The 10,148-nt window shown below is 52.7% G+C and overlaps 1 pseudogene across 1 annotated transcript in view, besides 3 other annotated features; it reads left to right on the top strand.

Moving 5' to 3' along the window:
* Positions 5,788 to 6,427: an enhancer, noted in NCBI's record as "H3K27ac-H3K4me1 hESC enhancer chr22:24059741-24060380 (GRCh37/hg19 assembly coordinates)". NCBI's record gives its function as "activates a minimal SCP1, AML or CMV promoter by ChIP-STARR-seq in naive H9 embryonic stem cells {active_cell/tissue: H9 hESC(naive)}" and the evidence as "EXISTENCE:reporter gene assay evidence [ECO:0000049][PMID:30033119]".
* Positions 6,428 to 7,067: an enhancer, noted in NCBI's record as "H3K27ac-H3K4me1 hESC enhancer chr22:24059101-24059740 (GRCh37/hg19 assembly coordinates)". NCBI's record gives its function as "activates a minimal SCP1, AML or CMV promoter by ChIP-STARR-seq in naive and primed H9 embryonic stem cells {active_cell/tissue: H9 hESC(naive and primed)}" and the evidence as "EXISTENCE:reporter gene assay evidence [ECO:0000049][PMID:30033119]".
* Positions 6,478 to 6,637: an enhancer, noted in NCBI's record as "active region_18757". NCBI's record gives its function as "activates an Ori minimal core promoter by ATAC-STARR-seq in GM12878 lymphoblastoid cells {active_cell/tissue: GM12878}" and the evidence as "EXISTENCE:reporter gene assay evidence [ECO:0000049][PMID:35858748]".
* GUSBP11 (GUSB pseudogene 11) overlaps positions 6,558 to 10,148 on the top strand; it is a 78,937-nt pseudogene continuing 75,346 nt past the window's right edge. Inside the window, exons 1-3 of the transcript NR_024448.2 lie at positions 6,558 to 6,950; positions 8,787 to 8,972; positions 9,639 to 9,794. The product of NR_024448.2 is annotated as a GUSB pseudogene 11 (transcript). The remainder of the gene's footprint in view (positions 6,951 to 8,786; positions 8,973 to 9,638; positions 9,795 to 10,148) is intronic.

Here is a 10,148-nt window from a genome sequence, read left to right as displayed (position 1 = left end):
GGCAGAAAAAGAGACCAAGGTAAGTTTCAGAGCAGGAGTGGAAGTTAGTTTGTTTGCTTATATATTTAAAATATTTTAGGCCAGGCGCGGTGGCTCACACCTGTAATTCCAACACTTTGGGAGGCCGAGGCGGGTGGATCACGGGGTCAGGACATCGAGACCATCCTGGCTAACACGGTGAAACCCCGTCTCTACTAAAAATACAAAAAAAAAAATTAGCCGGGCATGGTGGCAGGCGGCTGTAGTCCCAGCTACTCAGGAGGGTGAGGCAGGAGAATGGCATGAACCCGGGAGGCGGAGCTTGCAGTGAGCCGAGATTGTGCCACTGCACTCCAGCCTGGGGACAGAGCGAAACTCCATCTCAAAAAAAAAAAAAATTTTTTTTTGTTGCCTAGGCTGGAGTGCAGTGGCACCATCTCAGCTCACTGCAACCTCCACCCACTGGGTTCAAGTGATTCTACTACCTCAGTCTCCCTAGTAGTTGGAACTATAGACATGTGCCACCAGACCTGGCTAATTTTTGTATTTTTAGTAGAGACGATGCTTCACCATGTTGCCAGACTGGTCTTGAATTCCTGACCTCAAGTGGTCCACCTGCCTTGGCCTCTCAAAATGCTAGGATTACAGGCATGAGCCACCGTGCTCAGCCCTGGAGTGGAAGTTTATTTAAAAGGCTTTAGAATAGGAAAGAAAGGAAAGAAAAGTACGCTTGGAAGAGACCCAAGAGGGCACCAAGGTCAAGTGCGGTGTTTAACCTTGACCCTAGGACTTTATAGGCTGGCCTCTTTCCCATGTTCCTTCCTTTAGGGTGGGCTGCCACAGGGGGCAGGTGAGCACCCGCTATGTGTTTAGAAACTTCTGTGCACACCCATCTAAGGCTTTCTTCCCTTTTCTGGTGGAGTGCCCCCGAAAGGTCATACTCCCCCATTTTGTCTCTTACTGCACATGCCTGGACTCACTCATCCAATACCTGACATTTTATCAGAAGCCCCCTTGTGCCTCTCCCTTGTGCCTGCATTCAATTCATACTTTAATGCAACAGGTGTGGACCAGCAGGCAATGGCCTTTTCCTGGTGCCAGCTGCCAATTTGTCACTTTTTTTTTTTTTTTGAGACAGAATCTGGCTCTGTCACCCAGGCTTGAGTGCAGTGGTGCGATATCACTGTAACCTTCACCTACTGGGTTCAAGCAATTCTCCTGCCTCAGCCTCCTGAGCAACTAGGACTACAGGCACACACCACCATGCCCAGCTAATATTTTTGTATTTTTAGTGGAGACGGGGTTTCATCATGTTGGCCAGGCTGGTCTCGATCTCCTAACATCAAGTGATCCGCCCGCCTCGGCCTCACAAGGTGCTGTGCCCGGCCAATTTATCCCTTTTAGAGAGGCAATGGGATGATCGCCAAACCATCTGCTGACATTTCTAGTGGGCGAGGGGAGAGCCCTCTCTGCCCCCATCATGCCTATCCTACCTTTTCCTGATGCAGCTCTCAGCTTGACTTTTCCCTTTGGCTTAGTGACTTGTCAGGGTAGGAGGGGTCCCAAGATTTATTTTCTTTTCACAAAGGCAAAAGGGGATACGGCATGTCACATGGTGAAAGAGGGAGTGAGAGAGAGAACAGGGAGGCGCTGCACTCTTATAAACAGCCAGATCTCATGGGAACTACCTGAGTGGGAGCTCACTCATCACCAAGGGGATGATCCCATCATTGCCACCAGGCCTCACTTCCAATTCCGAGAATGACATCTCTTTTTTTTTTTGAGACAGAGTCTTGCTCTCTCACCTAGGCTGCAGTGCAGTGGTGTGATCTCATCTCACTGCAGCCTCTGCCTCCCAGGTTCAAGCAATTTTCCTGCCTCAGCCTCCCGAGTAGCTGGGACTACAGATGCACACCACCACGCCCGGCTAATTTTTTTTTTTTTTTTTTGAGACAGAGTCTTGCTCTGTCACCCAGGCTGGAGTGCAGTGGCACTATCTCGGCTCACTGCAAGCTCCACCTCCCGGGTTCACGCCATTCTCATGCGTCAGCCTCCCAAGTAGCTGGGACTGCAGGCGCCCGCCACCACGCCTGGCTAATTTTTCGTATTTTTAGTAGAGACAGAGTTTCACCGTGTTAGCCAGGATGGTCTCGATCTCCTGACCTTGTGATCCACCCGCCTTGGCCTCCCAAAGTGCTGGGATTACAGGCATGAGCCACCGCACCCGGCCTGTATTTTTTTTTTTTTTAGTAGAATTAAGGTTTTACCATACTGGCCAGGCTAGTCTTGAACTCCTGACCTCAAGTGATCTGCCCACCTCAGCCTCCCAAAGTGCTGAGATTACAGGTGTGAGCCACTGCGCCTGGCTGGAAATCACATCTCAACATGAGATTTGGAGGGCACATACCCAAACCACATTACCCTTCGAGGGAAATTCCGGGCACCTAGCTATCTTGAGAAGTAAATTAGCAACTTGATGAGAAGAAGGTAATAATTGGCTGGGTTCAGTGCCTCACACCTGTAATCCCAGCACTTTGGGAGGTCGAGACAGATAGATCAACTGAGGTCAGGAGTTCGAGATCAGCCTGGCTAATGTGATGAAACCCCATCTCTACTAAAAATACAAAAATTAGCTGGGTGTGGTGACGGATGCCTGTAATCCCAGCTACGCGGGAGGCTGAGGCAGGAGGATTGCTTGAACCCGGGAGGCGGAGGGTGCAGTGGGCTTAGATTGGGCCATTGCTCTCCAGTCTGGGCAACAGAGCAAGACTCCGTCTCAAAAAAAAAAACAAAAAACAAAAAACAAGAAAAAGTAATAATAGCTCAGAACAACAGCCACCCAAGTCGGTTAGAGCCACAAGATATTTGATCCCCTATAGAAAGTAAAGATAACATCTTGACAAATGTCCCTAAGTTGTTTTTCAGAAGCGCAGACCTCAACCAGATGAAAAATGGCGACAGCTTTCACGTTGACCTCAGATAAGGGTGAACCAAGGGCTGAACTCTGATTGGAGTTCTTTGTTCTAAATTTCTTCCTGAGGGGCTTGGAGGGAATCAGACTCACAGGTGAAAACTTAACATCCCTTCTGCTGACCCCAAGGTTTTAGATAAAGCTTTGCTTTCTTAACCAACTGTAAACGTAAAAAATATTTGAATTCACCAGGCGCGATGGCTCATGCCTGTAATCACAGCACTTTGGGAGGCCGAGGCGGGCGGATCACCTGAAGTCAGGAGTTCAAGGCCAGTGTGGTTAACATGGTGAAACCCTGTCTTTACTAAAAATACAAAAATTAGCCGGGCGTGGTGGTGGGCGCCTGTAATCCCAGCTACTCAGGAGGCTGATGCAGGAGAATTGCTTGAACCAGGTGGCACACGCCTATAGTCCAGCTACATGAGAGGCTGAGGCAGGAGGATTGATGAAGCTCGGGAAGCAGAGGTTGCAGTGAGCCGAGACCAGGCCATTGCACTCCAGCCTAGACGACAGAGCGCGACTCTCAAAAAAAAAAAAAAAAAGAAAAAAAGAAAGAAGGAAAAGGAAAAAAGGAAGGCATCTTCTCTGGCACCCTTTAGTCTTTTTTTTTTTTTTTTTTTTTTGAGATGGGGTCTCGCTCTGTCACCTGGGCTGGAGTGCAGTGGCACAATCTCGGCTCACTGCAACCTCTGCTTCCCGGGCTTTATCAATCCTCCTGCCTCAGCCTCTCATGTAGATGGGACTATAGGCGTGCACCACTCCACATAGCTAATTTTTTAATTTTTTTATTTTTTGTAGAGACAGCGGTCTCGTTATGTTGCCCAGGCTGGTTGCAAACTCCTGGGCTCCAGTCATCCTCCTGCCTCCACCTCTCAAAGTGCTGGGATTACAGGTGTGAGCCACTAAGCCCGTCCTGAATTACTGATTTTTACATACTGTATAAACTTTGGCATCCTACTTTTTCTTACTTTTGTTAAATTTGGCCTAAAGCTGCCTCATCAACAGTGAACTATATCCTAATTTAAGCATGTAAGCATTTTACTAAAGGAATATACAAGTAAAATTTTAAAGAAAGAAAATAGGCTGGGCATGGTGGCTCACTTCTGTGATCCCAGCACTTTGGGAGGCAGAGGCGGGTGGATCACGAGGTCAGGAGATCGAGACCATCCTGGCTAACAGTGAAACCCCGTCTCTACTAAAAATACAAAAAATTAGCCTGGCATGGTGGCGGGCACCTGTAGTCCCAGCTACTCGGGAGGCTGAGGCAGGAGAATGGCCTGAATCCGGGAGGCGGAGCTTTCAGTGAGCCGAGATTGTGCCACTGCACTCCAGCCTGGGCGACAGAGCGAGACTCTGTCTCAAAAAAAAAAAAAAAAAAACTAAATAACTAAATAAGAAAACAAGCATAAACATTTGGGAAAAAGCCTTTAGGCCTTGTCAGTTCCTAGAATGTATTTATTTTCACTATACTGGGGTATCCTTCCAGTATTAAGGTCCATTCTCAGAAGGTGGATTTGGCGAGCATGAAAAAATGGGGTGGGGGAGTAATCGTACAAACAACTGTGTCCAGTCCAGGTTCCTAGGACCAAAGGGACCCCTCTGTATGGCAGAGGCACCCAACAGCCATAACTGATGTGTACCCTTAGAATGACTTTATGGTCGGCCGGGCGCGGTGGCTCACGCCTGTAATCCCAGCACTTTGGGAGGCCGAGGCGGGCGGATCACGAGCTCAGGAGATCGATACCATCTTGGCTAACACGGTGAAACCCCGTCTCTACTAAAAATACAAAAAATTAGCCGGGCGCGGTGGCGGGCGCCTGTAATCCCAGCTACTCAGGAGGCTGAGGCAGGAGAATGGCGTGAACCCGGGAGGCGGAGCTTGCAGTGAGCCGAGATAGTGCCACTGCAGTGCCGCCTGGGCGAAAGAGCAAGACTCCTTCTCAAAAAAATAAAATTAAAAAAAAAAAAGAAGAATGACTTTATGGTCTAAGAAGAATGTGTGTTCGGAGCCCCAAGCTAAGGAATCAGGAATGGCAAGATCCTGGAACGATGCCAACCTATGAAACCCTGAGTCAAGAGGTCAAGCTGGGCACTTGGTTTCTCAGGTCGACTGCTTGGCCCTCTTCCAAGTTGTACTTTCCTTCTTTCCTTTCCTCCTTTATTTCCTGTTCTAAAGTTTTATAATAAACTTTTTTTTTTTTTTAGATACTATCTCACTCTATAGCCCAGGCTGGAGTGCAGTAGCTCAATCTCGTTCACTGCAACCTCCACCTCCCAGGTTCAAAAGATTCTCCTGCCTCAGCCTCCTGAGTAGCTGGGATTACAGGCGCTCACCATCACACCCAGCTAATTTTTGTATTTTTAGTACAGACATGTTTTTACCATGTTGGCCAGGCGGATCTTGAACTCCTGAGCTCAGGTGATCCACCTGGCTCAGCCTCCCAAAGTGCTGGGATTACAGGCATGAACCACCATGCCCGGCCCCGGCCTGCTTTTTAATAAACTTTTACTCCTACTCTGCAACTTGCCTCTGTCTGGTTTCTGCCTTATGACCCTCGGTCAAATTCTTTCTTCTGAGGCGGCAAGAATTGAGGTTGCTACAGATGTGTATGGATTCACCACTGGGAAGTTGGATACCTTCCACCGGTAACTGGTCGAGGATGTTAGGTGAAAATGTTATGGAAGCTGCATGGTTTTTACAAATCATGTAGTGGTTCTCATGTCCAGCCATAGCCACTGCACCTGTGTGAAAGTCCCCTCAATAAACCTTTGTCTTTTTTACTGTCTCCAGATCTCTTCCTCTACCCTTCCACACGGTGCCTTCCCTACTGGAGTAAAGTGGGGTCCCGCAGGGCACCCTCTCTGTGCAATGTTTTTTTTTTTTTTTTTTTTGAGATAGATTCTTGTTGTGTTGCCCAGGCTGGAGTGCAGTGGTGTAACCTCGGCTCATTGCAACCTTCGTCTCCTGGGTTCAAGCGATTCTCCAGCCTCAGCCTCCCAAGTAGCTGGGATCACAGGTGCCTGCTACCATGCCTGGCTTTTTTTTTTTTTTTTTTTTTTTTTTTTTAGTATTTTTAGTAGAGATGGGGTTTTGCCATGTTGGCCAGGCTGGTCTCGAACTCCTGGCCTCAAATGATCTGCCCACCTCAGCCTCCCAAAGTGCTGGGATTACAGGCGTGAGCCACTGCACTTGGCCTCTCTCCCTGCATCTTCATGTGTCTTCAACGCCAAGAGGGAGCTTCTGGCCCCTCGGTTAGGGTCGAGGTCCCAGAGGCCCAGGGTCAGGGCTACCGCCGCCTCCCAAGGACGTGCATGCCTGCAAGAGGCTGCATCCAGCAGTCATGGAAGAGGCTCCACTGGGGCCTGCTCTAGTTCCTGCTGGGGAAAGCAAGTGGAGGTGCCCCTTGAAGAAACGGGGATCCCACCAATCTCAGGGGTTCTGTCCTGGCCTGTGGCCCTGGATCATCCAGCACAGAGCAGACGACGATGGGGAGCAGACGACGCCCTTCTTGGTTGGGGCTGAGGGTGGGGGTCCCGCTTCCCTAAAGGCCTAGCCCAGGGTTCCAGCCACAGGCGCCGCCCCGCCCCTCCAGGCCTGGCAATCGCCCTCAACAAAGATGGCGCGGACGACCTAAGTCGCGTCACGCTACCGGCGCGTCACGCGACCTTGCCGCAATGCTCCTCCCGCGCAGCTCTTATCCCCGTAGACTGCGGCCGAGACGGGGAGGGGGAAGCCTCGCCTGGGGGGCGGCAGTGGCCTGGGCGGCTCTCCGGCTGCTGTTGTATGGCTGCACGTTGGCGCTACCGGACGGGATGCTGTATCCCCGAGAGAGCCCGTCGTGGCAGCGCAAGCAGCTGGACGGCCTCTGAAGCTTCCGCGCCGACTTCTCCGACAACCGACGCCGGGGCTTCGAGGAGCAGAGGTACCGGCGACCGCTGTCGGAGGCGCGGACTCGGGGCAGGGCCAGGAGTCGCCCGGAAGCCCGGCGGTGGGAATGGGGTAAGCCCCGGCGCCCTGCAGCCTCCTTCACCGTAGTGCCCCGGAGCTGGGGGCCCGGAGGAGGTTAAAGGTCAACGGGCTTGGGGGCGCGGGATTGGAGAACGGGAGTACCTGGGGGACCCGCGAGGGCCGGAGCGGTGGAGGCGGGAGGAGGAAGAAGCGCTCCTGTCGAGTCCCGTTCCTAGGCGAAGGCTGAGCCCGGGCAGTGTCCTTCTTTCTAATGTTTAATTTTAATTTTTGAAATGCTTTTGAGACCGGGTTTGGCCCTGCTGCCCAGGTGGGAGCGGAGTGGTGCAATCCTAACTTCTGAGCTCAAGCGATTCTCCCGCCCCAGCCTTGCAAGTTACCTGGGACCACCATGCCTGGCTAATTTAAACAAACAAACAAACAAACTTGGTCGGGCTCGTGGCTCACGTCTGTAATCCCAACACTTTGGGAGGCCGAGGCAGGCCGATCACCTGAGGCCAAGAATTCAAGACCAGCCTGGCCAACGTGGTGAAACCCCATCTCTACTAAAAATACAAAAATTAGCCAGGCGTGGTGGTGAGCACCTGTAATCCCAGCTACTTGGGAGGCTGAGGCAGGAGAATTGCTTGAACCAGGGAGGCGGAGGTTGCAGTGAGCCGAGAACACGCCGCTGCTCTCCAGCCTGTGAGACAGAGTGAGACTCCGTCTTAAAAACAAAATCAATTTTTTTTGTTTTTTTTGTTCGTATTTTTAAGATATAGGTCTCGCTAAGTTACCCAGGCTCGTCTCGAACTCCTGGCCTCAAGCCATCCTCCCACATTAACCTCTTGAAGTGCTGATTACAGGCATGAGCCACCCAGGCACTCGTCAGGCCTGAGAGGCAGGCGCTGCCCAGAGCTGGGCCCGGGGATCGGGAGGAGGCGACAGTTTAGATATTTTGAGGTCAGCTCTGCCAAGGTGGGAAGGTACCTTGGTTTTCACGGTTCAGATAGAGGACAGAATGTGACCTCAGGCCAAGGACGCCACCCCTCTTCCCCTCCTGACTTGGATGTGGTCAGCAGAGAAGTGGGATCCGATGAGGTTTGGGCCGCGTTTGCCTGGTGTACATCCTCTTTTTCTTTTTTTCTTTCTTTTTTTTTTTTTTGTTGAGACGGAGTCTCTCTCTGCTACCCAGGCTGGAGTGCAATGGCACGATCTTGGCTCAGTGCAGCCTTCCGGGTTCAAGTGATTCTCCTGCCTCAGCCTGCTGAGTAGCTGGGACTACAGGCCCACCACACCCAGCTAATTTTTGTATTTTTAGTAGAGATGGGGTTTCACCATATTGGCCAGGCTGGTCTCGAACTCCTGACCTTGTGATCTGCCTGCCTCTGCCTCCCGAAGTGCTGGGATTACAGGTGTGAACCACCGCACCCAGCCTACATCCTCTTTTTCTGACTTTACGGCATTCAGTACAGGAGAAAGAGAGGAGAAGGCTGGGTGCCAGCGTGTGCCCCACTCACAGTGTCCTAAGCAAAGCACCCCCCATCCCCCTAACCAGCCTTCCTCCCTGTGACAGGCAGTGGGCCATCTGCCTCTTAGTCACAGGTCTGAACCTTCTTGCCTCGTGCTGGGATGTGCCCCTGGGCTCACCCCTGTCTTGGGAGATACTGGGTTCCATCCGCTCCAAGGAGGAACTCCTGGCCCCACTGGCCCAGGTGTACAAACCGCCCTGGCAATTGACCTGTCATCAGCAAGTTATCTGTCTGTTCCACCAGGAGTCCCCACCGTGTGTCAGTGTTTGCGCTAGGCCTGGGGGCGTGGCTGTGCAGTACACTGGTCCTGGATCCCTTTGGGGGGCCTAGGAGCTGAGCCCAGCCCTTCTCTTCGCAGTCAGGCCCCACCGTGGACATGCCGGTTCCCTCCAGCTTCAACGACATCGGCCAGGGCTGGCGGCTGCGGCATTTTGTCAGCTGGTTGTGGTATGAACGGGAGGTGACCCTGCTGGAGCGATGGATCCAGGACCTGTGCACAAGAGTGGTGCTGAGGATTGGCAGTGCCCACTTCTATGCCATCGTGGTCAGTGAGGCCAGGAGCAGGCAGGGCGGGTGGGTGGGCACAGCTGCTGAACAGCATGGGACCCTCAGCTACCACCCATAGCCTGTCTTCTGGGGTGGGACGGTGGGGGTCCTTGCCCTGCCCTGGAGGCTGTGCCCTGTGTAGAGGGATAGGTGGCCTGATGTACCCCATTGGGATGTCATTCTTCCCGTCTGGCTGGCAGGCCCCCGATCCCCATACTGCAGGTTATGTGAGGGAGTGCCTGATAGCAGTGCCCCTCCTCATGCCCTGACCTGCCACCCCCTCCCCATATCTCCTATGTCTGCAGTGGGTAAATGGGGTCGACACGGTAGAGCATGAAGGGGGCTACCTCCCCTTTGAGGCCGACATCAGCAGCCTGTTCCAGGTGGAGCCCCTGCCCTCCCACCTCTGCATCACTATCGCCATCAACAACACGCTCACCCCCCAACCCTGCCACCAGGGACCATCTGTACATGACCGACACCTCCAAGTGGGGACCATCCTGCCTCCACTGCACGCACCCACCTTCCCGCCCCACCCTGTGGTCTTCCTGCCAGGGACAGGGTGGCCTTCGCAGAGAGGAGGCCCTGGATCTGGGGAGGCATGTGAGCTGAGGTCAAAAGACCCATGGCAAGGGCCCAGCGAACCACAATTCTCCCGCCCTAGGTATCCCAAGGGTTACTTTGTCCAGAACACAGACTTTGACTTCTTCAGCTACGCAGGACTGCTGTGGTCTCTGCTTCTATACACGACACCCCCCACCTACATCGATGACGTCACCGTCACCACCGGCGTGAAGCGAGACAGTGGTGAGGGCTTCTGGTAAGATCCTCCCTCAGTGGGGCCCAGGGTGGCTGTGTTTGTTCTCTGTTTGGAAAGCTCTCCCAGCATCTCTAAACCTTCATAGGTTCCCATCCACCTATGAAGCTAAAATCCAGGCTGTCTGAGCCGGCGTGGGCTCCCGAAATCACCCATGTGGTAGATCTCGCTTGGAGAAGAGGGGTCTGGCCTAACGTCACACAGCTCAGGGTGGCAATCCTGTCCCTTCCCCACGGTGCTGCTCTCACTCTAGCTCCCCTTGCTACACATTGTGCTCAAGGAACAGGCAGCTTCGAGGGGCCGGGTGCGGTGGCTAACGCCTGTCATCCCAGCTCTTTGTAAGGAGGACTTGGTAGG

The sequence above is a fragment of the Homo sapiens genome, chromosome 22 (genome assembly GCF_000001405.40).
Source record: "Homo sapiens chromosome 22, GRCh38.p14 Primary Assembly".
NCBI classification, from domain to species: domain Eukaryota; kingdom Metazoa; phylum Chordata; class Mammalia; order Primates; family Hominidae; genus Homo; species Homo sapiens.
The sequence above is the reverse complement of the archived record's forward strand: the minus strand, read 5'-3'. Positions and strand labels throughout refer to the sequence as shown.